Source organism: Homo sapiens, unplaced genomic scaffold, assembly GCF_000001405.40.
Source record: "Homo sapiens unplaced genomic scaffold, GRCh38.p14 Primary Assembly HSCHRUN_RANDOM_CTG27".
NCBI classification, from domain to species: Eukaryota; Metazoa; Chordata; class Mammalia; order Primates; family Hominidae; genus Homo; species Homo sapiens.
The window spans coordinates 75,927-96,096 of NT_187505.1; the positions used below are offsets into that span (position 1 = coordinate 75,927).

At 46.0% G+C, this 20,170-nt stretch overlaps 1 pseudogene; it reads right to left on the minus strand.

The window, feature by feature from the left end:
* Positions 1-6,169: 6,169 nt before the first annotated feature.
* On the minus strand, positions 6,170-19,349 carry LOC102723776 (protein FAM182A-like; annotated as a pseudogene).
* Between the last annotated feature and the right edge of the window lie 821 nt (positions 19,350-20,170).

The window sequence follows — 20,170 nt, forward strand, 5'->3', positions numbered from 1 at the left end:
ATTCTTCATGAAGTGACAGGTGAGGGGCTTCCTGGGAAGAGAGGGCAGGAGGGGAGCAAATGTAGGCTGGTGATGGTGGGCCTGCAGCAGTGCCCCAGGGTGAAGGGGTGAATGTATTACTGAGGCTGGATCCTGGTCATGACCCTTGCCTTGGCTTCAAGACTCATTAAAAACCAGCCTCCTCCAGTGAGCTTAGATCATGACACTGCACTCCAGCCTGGAGACAGAGTGAGACTCCATCTCAAAAACAAAAACAAAAAAACAGCCTCCATTCCCAATGTGCCCAGCTGGACCATGCGCTGCTTCCTGGATGTGCCACCAACACAACTGGAACACAAATCCTGAGTCACTGCCTCTAGAAAGCCTGCCTGGATTCAGTGCCCATCTGACTGGGCTCCTGCAGCACCTGGTCTGCCACTACTATGTGACTTACCTCTGCCTGCCTCTTATCACAGGTGCCTGTGTTTTTACCTGCCTCAGTGAGGGCTGTTGAGGACCTGGCCAGGCTGATCCATCTTAGGGGCTACAGTAGGTGGCAGCAATGGCTGGACTGTGTCAGGGCTGGACAATAAGCAAGCCAGGTTCTCATGCTGGGCACTGGGTGCCCTTTGTGGGCTCAAGTGGGCATCACCACTGCTTCTGAGTGGCCAGAAGATTCCTGGGAGAGGCCTGGTTATCTTGGGCTGACCCTCACTCCCCAGTTCCATCCTCCCTCCCTCCCTTGCTGAAACCCTTTTGCATGTCCTCAACATCCTGCTCCAGCACCAGCAGCCCCCTGGTTTTCAGCAGCCTCAGGGAACTCTTCCTTTTCTTCCTTGCTGTGAGTAACAGGCCCAATCCCCTGAGGACACTGCTGCCTTGCGGTCCTCTGCTGCAGCCCTTCCCTGGACCTGAGCAGGATAGGTCCTCCTTGCTTCTCATTGCCTCCCTCTTTCAGCTCATCATCCTGCTCTCCCATAAAAATACATTCATGTGCCATGAAATGATGTTTCCATCAACCCAGATCGCATGTGCAGTGGTGGATCCATGAAACTATAATGGAGCCGAAAGACACCTACTGCCTAGCCCAGTGACATAACAATTGTAACGTTATGGCACAGTTACTTTAAAAATATATTTATTAAAAAAGATTTATAATTCTATAGAAAAAGAAATATATGTCTTGTAGTGTAGCCTAAGTGTCCAGTGTTTATAAAATCTACAGTAGTGCACAGTCATGCCCTAGGAATTCATCTTCACTCACCACTCACTGACTCACCCAGAGAAGTTTCCAGCCCTGCACATTCCATTCATGGTAAGTGTCCTAGACCAGTGCACCATGTCTAGGTACCATACTACATTTTTATATAGTGCAATACTATGTTTTTACTGTACTTTTCATGATATGTTTAGATGTGCAAGTACTGACCATTGTGCTACAACTGCCAACAATATTCACTGCAGTAACCTGTGCCCAGGTGTGCAGCCTGAGAGCGGTAGGCTGTGCCATAGAGCCTAGGTGTACAGTAGGTACAATATTGAGGTGTGTGTAAGCACACTCTGTGATGTTCACACAAAGAAAAATTACCCAAGGACACAGTGACACACGAAGGGAATCAATATTGAAGCTCTTGCCCTCAGATTGCACCCAGGGCCACATCCCTATGCATTGAAGACTTAGCTCCCAGTTCATGGGCACTTTTTCCTGCTGAGGTGATTCCAACATGCACATAGAGAGTCCTCCTCATGCTCTGGCTCTTGGTCCCTCCACCCCTAGAGACCTTGTCTCCACCCTCCCTGAGTCACCCACTCCTACCTGTATATTCTTGTCCTTGTCACTGCAGAAACTGTAGCTACTCCAGACCCTCAATTTCAAACACGCTTTTTTTGACCACAACTTTCCTTTTTCCAGCTGCCTCCCAACTCCAAGACACTTCAATGACTCCAAATTTTCACTTTTGTGTCTCACTCTGTTTCTTGCAAATTTCCCCTCCTCCCAGCTGAGACTATATGGTCCAGCCTGTCATCCACCCTCTCTAACACTCTCCACTCTCTTGCCCCACAATTAATTGTGCTCCCAGGGCAAAACTGCACTCTGCTGAAAGCCAGCCACCCGCTCCCTCTGCTCCTGCAGTCAGGTGGCTGAGCACAGCCAGAGAGAAACACACGTGCCTTTTGCTCTCACTTAATCACCAAGCCCAAACCTCCAGTGGGCCCTGGATGATGTCCTACAAACTCACTCATTTCCCGAGTCCATAAGTCTGCCAGACTTCTTTATTTGTTATCTTAATAAAAATATATATAATCTAAGTATTTTATGAATACCAACTGATTTAATTATGATAAAACTCTATGAATCTGTTCTATAATAATCACCATTTCACAGCTGAGGAGATGCTGGCACAGGAAGAGATGAAGTGACTTGCCCTGGAGCCCAGGCACCCAGCTCTGGAAGTGCTGCCCTGTCCCCAAGCAACAGTATCGTGCCTTCTCCTTCCTCCTTAAACCTCTAAAACCTTCCCCAGCCTTCCTTACACCTGCTGCCTTGCTTCCTACTTCAATTTGAAAATAGATGCAATAAAGAGAGAACCTTCCCTGGATCCCACCCCCACATCTCCCCAGCTGCTTGCCTCTGTGCTTCCTTCTCCACCTTCGCTTGTTATTGTAGCTAGAGTGTCTGCACTCATGTTAGGGGTGAATTTTCTCCATCATATCCATAGTTCAACCCTCAGGTTCTTTCCTGAGTGTCCACTTTGCACACTGCCCGGTTCCGCAATGCAGCTCTCCCACCCATCTCACACCCTGCATGCTTATTTATTCATCATCTGTTCTGCTCTACTACAGTGAGAGCTACACAGGGGCAGGGATTCTGGGTATCTTATGCACTGCAGATTCCAACATCTAGAGCAGTACCTGGCACCTAGAAGGTGTTGGTATTTAATGAAGTCAGTCATTTTATATGTCAGGCTCTGGCCTGGTGCTGGGGACACTAGGGTGATTCAGACAGGTCCCTGCTTATACCAAGTTTATAGTCCCATAGGGGAGACAAACACATTACCTGACAAATTTGCAGGCAGCCATTTATATTTTGCATCTAACAAAGCAGCCCTTATTGTACTTGAGAGGAAATGCACTCAAGCCGTTAGCTGTAGCCCCACTTCCCCTACTTCTGGACAGAAAGCCCCAGGCTCCAGCCCTTACATTCCTGGGCTTCCAGGGCTCCCTGGACTTTAGGAAACAGCTAGTAAGGGAGTCAAAGTCCACTTTGACTCAGAGCTGTGGGATGTCAACAAGGTGCTTCCCCTCTCTGGTCCTCAATGTCTTTGTCTATTACAAGAGATGATGGTGCCAGCTCAGCAAGCTCCACCGGGCTGGGGCAAATGGGACAGGGAGGGTGACAATGCTTTGTGGACAGAGAGGAGGAATTCTGAGTGGCTACTGGAAAGGCAGCATGTTTATTTGACAATTTCAAACATGACAGAACTGCGGAACACAGACATCAAGACTCCTCTGTAATTCCATTTGGAGTTTAAAGCTCAGATTTTGTTTTGTTTAAGCAGTGGCAAATGTTATGTATAGATATAGATGTGGGATCATAAAATGTGTTTAAAAGTTATTGATGTGGGACAACTTTGCATATCAATATACAAGCATTTATTTTATTTGTTTTAATAGCTGTGAAATATCCCACTGTATGAAGAGACTAAAATCTGTCCTTCTATTGTGGATATTTGGATTGATGAACCATTGGAACAAATCAGAGAGGCCAATCAAAGCATTTGACAGCCTGGCAGATCAAAGTGAGAGGTTTATTACAGAAGACAGTAATGCTAAAAGGGGAGGAGAGCTAAGTGAATCCACCTGCTGCAATCAGAGTCCAGAATCCCACCAACATAAGATGCAGGAGACAACGCGGCCAAAAGGGCAGAGGCCCCCAGGGCTCCCAGCAGAGCCAGATGCAAACTTGTCATCCCACCCTGTGTGTGGGCTTCCTATGCCCTGGACAGTCTTTCCTGAGGCCGAGGCTGTTTTAAGAGCTTAGAGCACCCATTCTACGGCAGAATTTCTTATGAATGAGGTCCCTGTTCTGTGCTCCTCACCTATCCTGGGTCCTTTTCCCAACTTGACTTTGGGTAGTGGGTGGATATAGGCCCCAGGTAAACACCAGGCCCCAGGTGGACATCAGGGCTCAGGTGGACATACAGGCTCCAGGTGTATATCAGGCCCCAGGTATATACCATTTTCCTGGTACGTATTAGTAACCAAGGGGACACTGGACTCCAGGTGTACATCAGGCTCACAGGTGGACACCCAGGCCCCATATGGACACCAGCCTACAGGTGAGCATCAGGCTGCAGGAGGATACCCAGGCCTTAGGTAGATATCAGGCCCTATAAGGACACCAGGTCTCAGGTGGACATCAGGGCCTAGCTGGGGACTCAGGTTCTAGGAAGACACCCAGGCCTCAAGTAGCATCAGGGCCAAGGCGGATACTAGACTCCACGTGGACATCAGGCCCTAGGTGGACACCTGGGACCCTGGTGACCATCAGGCCCCAGATTAACTGCAGGCCTTCGGTGAACATCTGATCCCAGTTGGATATCAGACCCCAGGAGAACATCAGTCCCCAGGTGGATATCAGCTTCCAAGTTGACATCAGGCCACAAGTGGACACTGGACTTGAAGTGTACGTCAGGCCTCATATGGACACCCAGGCCCCAGGTGTACAGCAGGCTGAGGTAGAAATCAAGGCACAGGTAACACCATCTCCTAGGTGGTTACCTAGGCTTCAGGTAGACATCAGACCCCAGGTGGACACCTGGGTCTCAGGTGGTCATCAGGCCATAGGTGGAAACTCAGGTCCCAGGTGCACATCACGTACCAAGTGGACACCCAGGCCCCAGGTGGACACCAGACTTCAAGTGGACATCAGACCACAGGAGGACACCCAGGCCCCAGATAGATATCAGACTCCAGAGGAACACCCATGCCTCAGGCGGACATCAGGTCCCAGGTTAATTCCAGGCCCCAGATGGAACTCAGGCCCCACCTGGACACAAGTCCCTAGGTAGATACACAGGCCCTGTAGGCCCTGGGGAACATCAGGCCTTAGGTGAAGTTCTAGGCTACAGGTGGACATCTTGCTCCAGTTGGACATCTGGTCCCAAGTGAACATCAGTCTCCAGGTGGACACAATGTCCCAAGTTGGACATCAGGCACCAGGAGGACTTTAGTCCTCTGGTGAACACCAGCTCCCAGGTTGACATCAGGCTACGAGTTGACACCCAGGGCCCAGATGGACATGTGGCCCTAGATGAACACTAGTCCCCAGTCAGCTGGGGCCTGGGTCCACCTGGAGCCTGATGCTTAGCTAGAGACTGGATATCCACCTGAGGCCTAGGTATCTACCCAGGGACTGGTGTCAAAGTGGGGCCTGATATCCACCTGGGGACTAGGTATCCACCTGGGGCTTGATATACACCTCGAGCCAGATGACCTTCCGGAGTCTGATGTCCACCACAGGCCTGGGTGTCCATCTGGGGCCTGGTGTTGATTTGGATTCCAGTGTCTACCTGGAACCTGGGACCATGTAGTCCACTTGGAGCCTGGAGTTTTCACCTGGGGCCTGGTAGACATCTGGCCCCAGTAAACATCAGCGTGGGGCCTCGTTGTCCACTTAGAGCCTGGAGTTTTCACCTAGGGCCTGAAGATCACCTGGGACCCAGGTGTACACCTGGGACATCAGGCTCCAGGTGTACACCCAGGCTCCAGGATACAACAGGCCCCAAGAGAACTCCAGACCATATTAAACATCAAGTGTCCGGTGGATGCCCAGGCCCCATGTGTACACCAGGCCCCCGGTAGACAGTGGACGCCAGCTGAACATCAGCCCCAAGGTTGACACCCATACTACAGGTGGATATGAGGCCCCAGGTGAATACCTATGCTTCAGGTGTGCATCAGTCCCCAGGTGAACATAAGGCCACAGATAGACATCAGGCCTCAGGTGCACATCTGGCTCCAGGTAAACATCAGGCCTTAGGTGGATACCCACTCCCCAGGTGGACATCAGAGACCAGGTTGACACAAAAAAATCCCAGTGGGTATCAAGTCCCAGTGGACGTCCAGGCTCCAGGTAAACACCCCAGCCCCACTGTAACTGTAACCACCATAACGAGAAGTGGTAGGTCTAAGTACCATCATGCTCCTTGCTCACAAAAGGATGCTTAGCTATTTTATTCAAAATACAACTCCATTCATCACTCTGAGCAGCGATGTGTAGAAAGGAAGAGAAAAATAAACCAGGCTTCAAGGAATCCATCCAAAATGAGGTAGATATTATAAGGGACAGAAATCCCCAAATGAAATGTTATAGTTGACATAGAATAGTCTTTAAAACCCATTAATTTTCTCACACATTTGATACAAAGCATTATTTCCAGAGACTGAACCTAGAAAGAATTGCTTAAGACTAGGAGTCTTGTTCCAGCCTAGATCCCACACTGTTGAACATCTATACTTAGTACATCACATTATACATAGCACTGATATGATCTGTGTGCATTTAATTTCCTAATACTTGTTCATCTCTGGCATAGTTTATATATATATGTGTGTGTGTGTGTGTGTATATATATATCATATGTAACATACGTGCATACAAGTACACACATACACACAAAAGGTATATAAGGGTAGGATAGTATAATTGTGCAGTAACGTTTCTTGTGAAAGTGGTGGAAAGTGGATTGCGTTGGCGACATGCTGGAATGTGCTTCCATTGGCAGAAGTAAGGCTTTCAAAACTAGTCGTTTTCATTTTTCTCTAGCAACTGGGAATATTAATAATTGAAGATGTGTTGGTATAAAACTAATCATAATCACAATGAAGTGGTTTTAATAATTATAAGATATAATAGACATTACAGATATTATAAGATGTCAAGAAAAAGAAGATGCTATAAAACCTTTGAGATGATTGACACGTTAAATGCGGCCTCCTGTGCCTCCCTGGGGCGCCACTCTCGCTGGGTTCTTGGCGGAGCTCACTGTACTCCACCTGCTCGGCCCAGGCTCCTGCGCCCCCGGAGTCACGCCATGGGAGCGAGGACCTTGCCGCGGCCCTAGACAAGGACAATGAGGAGGGGGTGCACGTGGAATCCCCACGGATAGGCCGGACGCCGGGCAGGAGCCTTTGCAGGGGTGCACAGCCTCCTCTGGAAGCCCTGGTCGCTGCCTGGTGCCTGCTGCGCCCTGCGAGCTCCGCAGCGGTGGAGCCAGGCCTGAACTGCCTGCTCTTGGCCCCGCCTGCGGCCCTCTGCCCTTTGTCTTGCCCGTGGGGCCCGGGGCCTCAAGCTGGCCCGGGGTTCCTGAAGTTAGCTGACGATGGGCTGGCCTCTGGGGCTGGGTCGTGGGCCTTGTGCACTGGCCGCCACGTCACCAGCGCCAGGCCTACCCGCGGTGCTGCTGGAGACGCGGGATGCCCGGGCTCGGGCTCTGCTGGATCCCCTGGCGCTGCGAACCCCGTCACCTTCCATCGCGGCCGGCCACCATGCTGCGCGCTGGTCAGCCGCCTTCCTGGGACCCCTCCGGCCCCAAGGAGGCATCACTCACAGCCGCTTGCGACACCGGGGCCGCCTGAACCTCAGCCAGGGCTGCGCCACGCAAGTGGCTCCAGCCAGCCAGCCCTGGCCCATGAGCAGGACGTTCCGATCCTAGAGATGATCGCCCTCGGCAGTGATACACGGCTATGGAGGAGGCAGCGGATACCTTCTAAAGTTTGTAGACACTCTACTGCCACACCAAAAGTTTCACCATCAGCTGCGATGCCGACTGGGGCTCAGAGACCCCTCTGGGATGTGGACCAGGCAGTGCCTTTGCTGGGCATGGCAGTGCTGACCACCCGAAGTGCGGACCTTCACTTCGTGTTCCTCATACTCCACGTTCCACATCCAAAGTTCTCTACCATTTCTAAGCAGGAGAAATCAAAAGAAACTGAAATCAGAAAGAAAGAGAGAGAGAGAGAGAAAGCCATGAGCAAAAATAAAAAAAAGAGCAAAACCTTCTGGAAAGCATAAAACGCCTCAAAGCCAAAAACTAATTCTTATATCTTTTAAACCTTCTGCACTTCTCCAATGATGAATGATTTATTTTTTTTAACACTGGCAATTCGTAATTATTAACTTCTCTGTCATTAATGACTAGAAATTGAATCACATGTGGGAGTTTAATTTGTATTATATGAAGCTTTTCATATTTTAAAAAATAATCGTTCAGTTTTTCTCCGTGGATTAACAATTAATGGAAAATTTTCAACATTGCTGTGTTAATGTCTCCTGAGATAATTAGATGTGAATAATCTTTTATAAACAGAATTTCCTGGGTGGAATTTCTCATCTTCAGGAGCTCGATAAATAACCATGTCCCAAGAGAACTGTGAATTTGGGAACTGCAAGAACTGAGTCTCAACTTGTCCAGCCTGGAAGCTCTTGGGTGAATCACTCTTGCAGGTGACTTCACTGCCTTCTGTTGAAGGGCCAGTGAGAGCCTGGGGGTTTCAACATGCAAGAGCCTTACCATTTTAGGGTTAACATTCACAATGAGGAAAAGACATACTTTTTTGATATTCTCCGTATGTAATAAAATAGTTACCAAAACAAAGCAAAGTGTGAGTGGTGACTATTGAGAGGACCCTTTTTATCTTTGCTGGATTCCCAGAGATTTCTGGGTTTCTTTTGGAGTCAATAGTATTTCCATGTTAATTCTGAGCTCTTAAATCCCACAATATGAGTTGCAGCCAGTGACTAGAGTTGCAGCCAGTGACTAGAGTTGCAGCCAGTGACTAGTGTTGCAGCTTGTTAAACTGATCACTAGCGGTAGAGCCTTTTCATTCTGTTCACTTCTTAAAAGGTCAGCTTGGTCAGATATCAGTGCTACCCTGCCAGAAATAAGCGGTTAGGAATCAAGTAAAGGAGTCAGCTAAAAGTGTAATTACTAAGTAGTGAGGTCACAGCTCGATGGTAGTTGATCTCATTTTCTCTCTGCTGCTGATTTCAAGGCTTTATACCGTGTTTTGATATAACAGAATGTATACTATGAAGGACAAATAGTCTGTTAGCTTCTTGGAGCTATACTCCATTACTGGAGCAGGGGACAACAATTTGAAGGACATTACTACTTAGACAGTTTAATCTGCCTTTGGCTAGAATAAACTTCAAGTTCCAAGGGCTGGGTTCAGTTGTTATGCAAATTTAGATTGTTGTGGTAAAATTTCCAAAACAAAAAGGATAGGACTCTTTAGATGAAATAAGAATTTAACTGTATTTGAACCCTGTTGAAGGCCAGACAAGTTTAGGCAAAATCCCATGACTGAATACTCTTTGATGAGTCCCTTTAAATTCCAACATATAATCTATGTTGGTAAATATGATACGTGCACTGGAAAAGGATGTGTATTCAGTAGTTGTTGAGTGTCGCGTTCTGTATATGTCAGTTTATGTCAAGTTCGTTCATTGTGTTCATCAAATCTCCCTTTCTCTTATGGATTTTTTCTGTTGGTTCCATCGGTAACTGAAAGGTATGTTAAAATCTATATTGTAATTAGTCCATTTTTCTTTTAGTTATATCAGTTTCTGTAGTAAATAATTTGAAGGGATATTTTATATTTATACATATTTAACATTGGCATACTTTTCTAGTGACTCACATTGTAAAATCTCTTTTATCTTAGCAATATTTCTTGGCTTAAGACTAAACTGTCAATAATAACATAGCAACACGAGCTTTGTGCTGATTAGTGTTTTCAGACATGTTTTCCACTGTTTTACTTCCAAATGTCTAGATTCTTGTATTCAGATAAATTAATTAAAACATAAAAAATAAATATAATATAAAACATTAAAAAGTAAATATTCTAAAAATCCAGCCAGAGATGTTTCACTTTTAATTGAAGTGTTTAGGACCACTACTCTCACACTGTGTGCTAAGGTGCCCTGAGATGCTGTGTTTAACTGACGGGCACCAGTGGATAGTGTGTGAGTATGTGTATGTGTGCGTTTGTATCTGAGATGGGGGTCTCACTCTGTCCCCCAGGCTGAAGTGGAGTGTGAGGTCTAGGCTCACTGCAGCCTCTGCCTCCCTGAGTAGCTGGGACAACAGGCGTGCACCACCATTCCTGGCTAAGTTTTGTAATTTTAGTAGAGATGGGGTTTTGCCATGTTGCCCAGGCTGTATATTTTTGAGGGAAACAAAGCAACATTTGCTGGAGACCTTAAGAACTACTAGCCTGAGGCAGTTCATAGTTTCAAAAGTACTTAGTTAGAAGTGCATTTCTTTACCTTTAGGGTGGGTGTTGTTAATTACCACGAAGAAAGCAAGTATTGTACTAAAGTCAGTGTGGAATAAGAATAAGGTCCAGTGGTTGAGATCCAGTCCGATTTTAAGATTTGAAAAGTTGTGCTGTGTGCCCAACAGGCACACACATCCCAATAGTAAGTAAATTGTGCTTTTTTAAGAAAGGAACAAAAATACTGTTTCTACTTCCATTGCGTGTTATTTTGTATATGTACTTGCAAATACATCACCAAAATAAAAATAAAGAACATATCCAGCACTCAAAAAAGTTTCCCCTTGCCCTTTTATAATCCCAAACTTTCTGTATCTTCCTACCTTACCACACTCCCTGGCAATCACCAATCTGTCACTATAAAATAGTTTGCCTTGTGTAGACATTTATATAAATGAAGTGTAATATGCACCCTTTTTTGGAGGGGTCTGGCATTTTTCACACAGCATAATTATTTTGAGATTCAGCTATATTGCAGTCATCAATAGGTCATTAATTTTATGACTGAGTAGTATTCTATTGTGCAGATCGGTCACAACTTATATATCCATTTGCCTGTTGATGGGTTTTTGCATTGCTTCCGGTTTTGGACTTATACAAATACATTTGCAATGAACATTCATGTACATAAGTTCCTATAACTTTGAGTAAATATTAGGAGTGTAATAGTTAACAGGTTTAGGTTTAGTTTTAAGAGACTGTCAAAATGTTTGCCAAAATGGTTGTACCATTTTATATTTTTATCAGCAGTATATAAGAATTCCACACTCTTGCCAACATTTTGTATGGGCCTTCTTTTAAAATTTTAGGCATTTTCATGTGTGTACAATAGTATTTTATTGTGGTTCCATAATGCCTAATAATATCTAGTATCTATGTACTTACATGCCATCTGTATATATTTGGTAAAGTGTATGTTCACATTTTTTTGCTTCTCCCTTTTTTGTTTTATTCTTTGCTTATTTTCTCATTATTAAATTTTAACAGTTTCTTTATATACTTTAGATTCAAATCCCTTATTAGATATGAGACTTGCCAGTATTTTCCCCTTGAGTTTTCTTTGTGTTCTCATAACACTATCTTTCAGTTAGCAGATGCTCTCAATTTTGATGGGGTCAAATTTATTAATTGTTGTTTTGCATTTGGTTTTTGGGGCTTCATCTAAGATGTTTTTGATTAATTGAATATTACAAATTTTCTTTATTTTCATCTCAAAGTTCATAGCTTTTAATACTTTATTTTATATTTAAGTCAATGGTCCCATAAGTGACAGAGCTTTAACCCAAGTCACTGTCATGCATAGCTGGACCCAGGGGCTTATATAAAATCATCAAGAAATGTTTTCCTTCTTTCTCTTGACACTTTTCCTTTTGTTTTAGCCTCATTTTTTCCTTCTGAAGATGACTCTCTTCTCTCTTTGTAGCAAGAGATAGTACTAGAAATAACCCACTTTACTTTGTCCTCACATACCACAGTGGTAGAAAAAGCAAGAGTCCTTCCTGATGATTCCAAAAAAATAGTACTGAAACAGTTGCTATGATCCAAGGGTAGAGTCTTTTGCCAGAACTTGGCATCATGATCACCTCTAGGGCTGGGGCTTTTAGGTTGGGTCAGGCCTAGTTGGTGCTCATTGAAATGGTCCCCAAAGAAAAGGGGGGCTCTCAAGAGGAGAGTTGCTGAACACCCCACCAAAAAATAGCCACTGTGTACATACCTACAATTCCTTGCCAGTTTATAAGCAACTGGTTGGGTGGAAAATGACTAGAAATTCAGTTGTCATTAACTTTCCTTTATAATGTCAGTAGAATGAGCCATACATTTCACATGTTGTGGGTTACGTCCATGATAGTCATTTCTGTATATTAGGTATCAATTTGGAGTATCATCTGAAGAAATATATTATTTTGTGATGTTATCCTTAAATTAATATTTTTAGGATAAAGATTTATAGGATGAAAGAAAAGTCTAGGATAGAAATAAAAGAATAGAGAAAATGGGAGCATGGATATACTGCAGAAAATGGCCAAACAGGAAAAGTACTTGTGAGAAGTATTGAAGTACATAATTGATGTCACATAGACCTCCAGGAAATTACAACTACTGGCATAAGAACAAACTATCTGAATAGTCTTTGCTAATACTGAGTCTTTTCTGCTTGCAAAAGTAGTAAGAATGGTAAGGAATTGGGACATTGTTCAGATAGGCCTCAGTGCATTTGTTCATTTACCTGTTGATGGGGTTTGGGGGTATTAATGAAGGATGTTAATAAATAATAATGGGCATGTTAGGTAATCATAATTGATTTGTCCATTTGGTCTGAAGAAAATGTTGCCTACCTTCTTTTTTGTCGAGGGATTCATTTTTAATGTCATGTTGGATTATATGACTTACTAAATGTGTAATTGCCTATTTATGGATTCTGAAGAATTTTATAAAATGTATTTGCCAAACATTTTGAAAGCTTAGAACTTCTCCAAGGAAGAAGTTTTTTAGTGCTTTAGTGCTGCCCTGATAAATATGGTAGCCACAGCCATGTGAATATTGAGCATTTGAAATGTGGCTAGGCTGGAGTGAGATGTGCTGTCAGGGTAAAACACACACCAGATTTTGAAGACTTAGTAGGAAATAAAATTAAACATATCTAATTAATAACTTTTATATTGGTTAGACATTGAAATAATATTTTGTATGTATTTTACATATAAATATACATTCATGTGTATGTGTAATTAATATCTTCATATGAAATACTTCTCAATTACAATTGGAAGAATGATGACTTTGTGGTGGAGAAATCTGGCACAAACTTGATCATGTGCCTCCTGCTGTGATGTCCTAGGAAGACCACAGCATTATTTCTGTGGTTTTCTTGTGAAAGATACATGACCTAAGTCTGGATGTGGAAACACATCAGATGGAAAAAGGTAAACACATCCTTCATAAGTGTGTATGCTCTTTAAAACTCTTAAGTTTATGAAAAATAGGGCAAAACAGAGGAACTGTTTGAAGTTGAAGGAACTTAATAGTCATGACAATTAATGCAATGGGAACTCCTGGATTGGATCCTGGATTACAAAGTTCAAAAAAATGTATTTAGGGCACAGCTGAGAAAATTTGGATCTGTTGATTGGACAGTAGTGTTGGGTGAATGCTGATATCCTGATGTGGATGATTATATTCTGGTTATGAGAACTTTTCCCAGATTCCTCATCGTTTGCCCAGTGGGTTCATGGACAATGTGGCGATGGTAGCAGGAGAAGATGCTACATGTTTCCAATAACATGAATTTCCCTGCAGCAGTGCTGCCTACTGCCCAGATGAGTGCCCTGACTGCCGACAATGAGCAATGCTGAGACCCTGGAAAGAGGAACTACCTTGCCTAGACCAGACAGATTTCTGGTAATGTTGTAATAATATTTTTTCCCTTCCTTCATGGAAGTGGTAAAGAATTGCCCTCACTGGAATAGATGCATTTCCGAATACGGACTCCACTTCATATGCTTCTCATAGCATCAAATTATTTACATTTGCTGAGTTCTTATTCTCTGCTATCATACAATTACTACTGAAGATGGAGCTTATTTTACAAAAAAAGAAGTGATGCGATGGGCTTCAACCCATATTTATTGGTCTTGTGACATCCCACATCACCCAGAGGAATATGACCTCACAAGAATCAGTTATTTCACCAACTGTGAGACCCTGAGGGGCTGGGTTTCTATCCTACAAGATGTGTTAGATGCCCTGACCAAAGATCCCTCCTACCCAGAATGCATGGTTCCATGTAGCAAGGATCATTTTGATGGTGGTGATGATGATGGTGAGGATGGTGATGGTGAAGGTGGAGGTGGTGATAACGATAGTGATAGTTATGGTGAAGATGCTGGTGTTGATGATGGTGAGAATGGCAAGGGTAAGAATGGTGATGGCCATGATGATAGTGTTGGTGATTGTAAGGATGGTGATGGCAATCATGGTGATGATGATAATGGTGCTGACTGGGCTATGAGGTAATGGAGGCAGAAAAGTGGCTGTTTCTAGGAAGTATAGAGCCAGCTGGGAACTGCAAGGCAACCTTAGTGGGGGTGGAAGATGTCGGGCCCCTGCGTCATTTCTAGACATCTGGGGAAATCTCACCCCTCACAGTAGTTCCAGGAAGCCCTCCATCCAGCATTTCCTTCTTGCAATCAGCATGGAGCTTTTGGGGTGCAGAGAAGTGTCTTCTATTCACTGCACTCTGTGGGAAGGGAAAAGGGGGAGTGCTATTTATGAACCCATTATAATACAGTAGGGTCTCATCTAATATATTTTGGGAGAATTTTCAACTGAAAAGAGCAAGCTTCAGAGAAGTCAGGTAACTTTATCTTCAATAGCATCCAGTTGTGATTTATTGAGCAATTACTATGTGCCAGGCAACATGCTGGGTGGTTCCTTATATGTTATCTCATGAAATCCTACAGCAACACAAGGAGACAGGCATAACTACCCCATTATAAAAATTGTGGCAAAATGAACTAAAATTTACTGTCTAACTATGTTTAAATTTACATTTCAGTGGCATTAAATACATTCGCAATGTTGTGCAACCAATTTCCAGAGTGCTTTTCATCTTGTAAAACTACAGTTCTGTAACCCATTTAAAAACAACTCCCCAATCCCCACCCTCCCCAGGACCTGGTAGCCACCATTCTCCTGTCTGTCTCTATGGATTTGACTACTCTAGGTGTCTTGGAAAAGTGGGATAATACAGCATTTGTCTTTTTGGTCTGGCTTATTTTGTTCAGCCTAATGTCCTCGGGTTCATTCTTGACGCAGCACGTGTCGGACTCTCCTTCCTTTTCAAGGCTGAACACTATTCCACTGTATGCATAGACAGCATTTTGTTGATCCGTCCATCCATCCATTGACACTTGGGTTGCTTCCACCTTTTGGTTATTGTGGATGATGCTGCTCTGAACATGGTTTTGCATGTATCTCTTCCAGGTTAGCCCCATTATACAGAAGAGCATAGAGAGATTCTGGGAGGAGGGATGAATGCCTGGGGCCTTTGGTGAGGTCCTGGTGGAGGATCTCCCAGACCTCAAAGGCAGAGCTCCTCTCCTCACCCCACTGCCTTTCTTAGGACCTGCCTCCTGCTCCACCACACAGTGCCCACTCCCTGGTACTAGACTTGCTAAGGCCTCTTGATCCCTGAAAGTTCAGGGACAGGAACTAGCAGGCACAACTACAGTCACTCACTTCTCTGTCCCCTACTGCAGATTCGGTTGCAAACAATATATGACAATGACCTGCTTTCCACTCTTTCACCAGATGTGGATGAGGCACCTACTGCATGCCAGGCATGTGTGGGCACTGGATGGAGACCCCTGGGAAATGAGAAGATGTGAGCTCCTCAAGGCCAGGGGCATCCCTTTCACTTGCTGCTACCCTGTGAGGGATGGAGGGGAACCCTGAAGCATTGGAGAAGTGCATGAGTGACCTAGCTCAGATGATGATATCATAGTAACCCTGTTTATTATCACCTACCATGTGCCAGGCATTGTGCGAAGTACTTTGCACACATTACCGGCTGTAAAGCTCAGAGACAACTGTAGGAGTGAATCTTTTATACCTCCCACTTTACAGTGGAGGAAACTGACGCTCAGAGAGGTAAACCAGTCTTCCCCAGGCCTTGCAGCTAGTATCTGGGATGTGGATCCAGGCGGTCTGACTCAGAGATCCCCTCATCCTTTTAGTTTTTGCCCCTGCAGCCCTCTGGCCTGTCCCCAGGGCCCTGTACCGTTGGCCACCCCCAAGATGACCTGGACATGGGCTTCAGCAAAGGCAGCAACCCCAGCATATCTCCATTTGATAGGGAGGAACCTCAGGCCCACCACAGGAGCCCTGGGTGGGCTGCAGGTGGTGTAGGTGCTGGCTGAACCACAATGCACCCATGTTGGAGGATGCACCCTAGGATTGGCAGCAGCAGGAGGTCTCCCGGCCCAACAACTGGTAGTGGTACCTGAGAACAAAGGAGGAGAAGGATGCTTCGGATACAGGTGTGGAGAAGCCCAAGGAGGAAAAAGAAGATTTGGACTATGGGCTGCTGGATGGCCTCAAGGACCCCCTCCCAGAAAAGGAACTTTGAGACTTATACCAAGGGCTGAGATGAAAGTGCTCCCTCTTTTCTATCCTGGAACTGCTGCAAACTTCAGTGTGACATCACAGCGCCTTGTTTCCCTATTTGTAAAATGGGATTTTATGGGGGTTCCAATGAGACACTGGACCGAGAGCATTTTGAGAATTGTAAAAAATGTACAGTGAGTGAGGGAATAATTATTATCAATGGACCATTGCTCTTCCAATAGTTAGTATTCTTTAGCAAATATTTAAAGGTAAAATATGATTTGTTGAGGAGGTTTGCAGCAGCTGAGGCCCTCAAGAGTCTTTTCTGTCTCCGTTGAAAGCTGGCCTCTGACAGGGACCTTCTTGGTGCTACCCCTGGGCCCCTCATCCTTTGTGCAGGCTTCTCAGGGTTCTTATTTATATTGCATCTTGTGGTTCCCTAGTGGATGGCATGCTGCATCTTCACTCAGAGCTAACTGCATCTCCTCCAGGCCCATGTCCCTTGTGCAGCACCCACTGGTCCCTCACCAGGATTCAAAACCTTCTGTGACTGACCTCTGCTGACCTCCCAACTTTATCCCCCCTCATTCTTTCTGCTCCTCCAGTTCCATGCCTGTGCCCCTCAATCCTGTGGCTCACACTCTCACCCAAGCTGTTCTCCATCAGGATTTCCTTGGCTCCCTTTTCTGGTAGGCAAATTTATTTTCATCCTTCCAAGCCCTGCACAGATGTCCTCTGTGCAGAAAGCTCTCCCTGAGGTCACACAGTCCAGGAACAAGGTAGTTCTTGCTCCTGTGCTCTCTCTGGGTTTTGTGCCTTTATCACTTTGGTGTAACTGCCTGCCTCCTGCTGAAGGGAGGCATTTTGGCTTTACTCACCTCAGTATCTCCTGGGTCCAGCTGGGTGTCTGGCCTGGCCCAGAATTGGCGCTCATCAAGGGTGTATAGAACTCACAAGGACCCAGGAATGTTTTGCAAATAATACCACCCTCCCACACTTCTCCAATGTTTACTTTCTAAGATCCTTTACTCTTTGACATTCAAATTTCTAAATGGCCTGTATGTGTTTACAAAGCCTGGGAAAATGCCTTCAGAGGACAAACAAACCCCACCAGCAGAATGTATTTGCATTGACTAGGATTATGGATGAAATTCAGCTTTCCGGCAAATGAATCATTTGGCATTGGCTAAGTATCTGCTCTGTGCCAGATACTCAGCTGTGATCTCTAGAAAGAGACATGAACTACTGACACAGTACTTGACCCCGAAGAGCTCAGAATCCAGTGAGCTTGATTTCTTGTAAGTTAGAGACAGAGTTCAGAGCAGAAGCTCAGGCAGGAGAAGAGAAGTAAAATGGACACACCAGAGGCAGTGACAGCCACACAGCTGTCTGGGGACACTGAGTGCAGCAACAAATAGCTTAGGCTGCCTTGGCAGCCCACGAAGGTATCACGGTTTCCTATTGCAGCATCTCAGTGATGCTTTTGTTATGCTGATCTCTGCAAAGCCCTCTGTGCCCCAGCCCAGGATGGTGACAGCCATGCTGTGGAGAAAAGGGCAGTGACTAGGACCACAGGCTCAGAGCTTGTACCCTGGACCACCTGGGAATGGGAGCCCTTCACATGTTCTCTGCCTCTGTGTTCAGGTTGGGGGTCCTGGCCAAGGAAAGGAGATGACCCCCATGCTGGGTCAAAAGAACACACTCCCGGGAACAGACTCTCTTTTCTTTCTGGGTAATTTCTGCCTCTGCAGTGAATGGTGTAACCAGACACATCCTCTCTATTGGTATGACACAAAGACAGGCGTTCCTGCTCATGGGCTGAATCCTCAGGTGAGGGGAGGTGTAGTACATTCCTGTGCTCTGCTGACTAAGGCAGGGACACATGTCACCCCATCAGAATGAGTGCCAGACAAATGGCTACAATAAAATCATTTCCAATAATCAAAGGAGTCACCTTCATTCATCTACAAATACTTTTCCTTTTCTTTTTCTTTTTTTTTTTTTTTTTTGAGATGGAGTCTTGCTCTGTCACCTAGGCTGGAGTGCAGTGGCATGATCTTGGCTCACCACAACCTCCGCCTCCTGGGTTCAAGCGATTCTCCTACCTCAGCCTCCTGAGTAGCTGAGACTACAGGCGCCCACCACCACATCTGGCTAATTTTTGTATTTTTCATAGACACAAGGTTTCACTATATTAGCCAGGCTGGTCTTGAGTTCCTGACCTTGTGATCCACCCGACTTGGCCTCCTAAAGTGCTGGGATTACAGGTGTGAGCCACCACACCTGGCCCAAGTTTTTTTCTGTAAAACCACCTATTGCACTCAGGGTAGGGTAAATGATGCATCATGCCTGCTGGCAACTTGGGCCCTATCTGGAAAGTGAGTGCCCACCACCATGGCACAGTGCTGTGCAGTGCCTGTGTGGTGCTGAATCTCAGGAGCAGCCCCTATCCTGTGAACCACAACTACAGGGAACTTAGACGTAAGCAAAGACCTCTGGTGGCCAAGCCTGCCAGAAAGCAGATGCTAACCCTGTCCTGGGGATCTGCAGGGAGGTCGGGCCAGTGGAGAGGTGGCGAGACCAATGTGTGGTCTCCCCAACTCCCGCCCATGCTATGCAATGGGGGCGACCACACACCCGATCTGCCTGGGAGGGTCCTGGTGTGCCCACTGCCTCGCTGAGTTATGAGGGGTGCTGCCTCTCACATCTCACCGGTATCGCATTTGAAGGACAAATTATGTCTTCCCTTCCCCACCCTGTGGACCTCCGTTTCCTCATGTGCAAGTGGGGGATGATATGTTTACATGGTTATGCAGTGGTGGTATCGATGGGATCCATCTGTCAATACCCTGCATCCAGCGACCACCTGGAGCACACCTGCAGTTCGCAAGCTGGGCTTCCTGCTGCAGTGAGGGGAGCAAGCACTGCCTGGAGCCAGGGAGCCTCTCTGAAGGAGGTGTTGGAAAGGACTTGTTCCTGAATTTGGGCTTGTATTGGGAGCTTGGGGGAGGGTTGAAAGAAGCCTTTGCTCTAGATTGCTTGCTGACTGTATCATGGTGTGGCTTCATTTCTCAGAGAAGAGCCGTGAAAATATACAAGCATCTTCTCTGGCGTGGATCCACTGCTCTCCTGTGGGACAAAGAGTTCCTCTGGGGCTCTTGTCCTCAGCTGCAGTGTGTTCATCTTGATCCTAGAAAAGAGGCCGCTCAGGATGGGGATGAGATTTCAGTTGCTCCAGGAGCAACGCATCTCCTCACGTGGGCCAGGCTTTCACACACCCAAAGCGGATCTGCCGCGGCGAAAACGATTGACAGCCGGCCTCATGACCCAGGCAGAGATGGAGAAAGAGGCTCACCAAAGACAGGCCGCCATGCGACAAACCGCTTTGTGGCGCACAGGGCACATTTGGCCAAAGACACACACGCACACGGGCATACACACACAAACCCACAGAGAGAGGGAAAGAAACACACAGAGACTGAGAGACAGAGAGAGGAGAGAATGGGAGAGACACACACACACACACACACTCACACAGAGACACACACACAGAGTCATACAGCAGAGGCATTGAAACACACACCACCGGCAACCCCTGAGGCTGCGGGGTTCTGCTCACGACGAGAACGACCCTCAGGTGAGAGAGCAGCCCAGGGGCACGCAGGCCAACCTGTCCTCGAGATCACGGATGGCGGCACGACTTTTGGGGAGACTCACCCCAACCAACACCATCCGGGCAGGC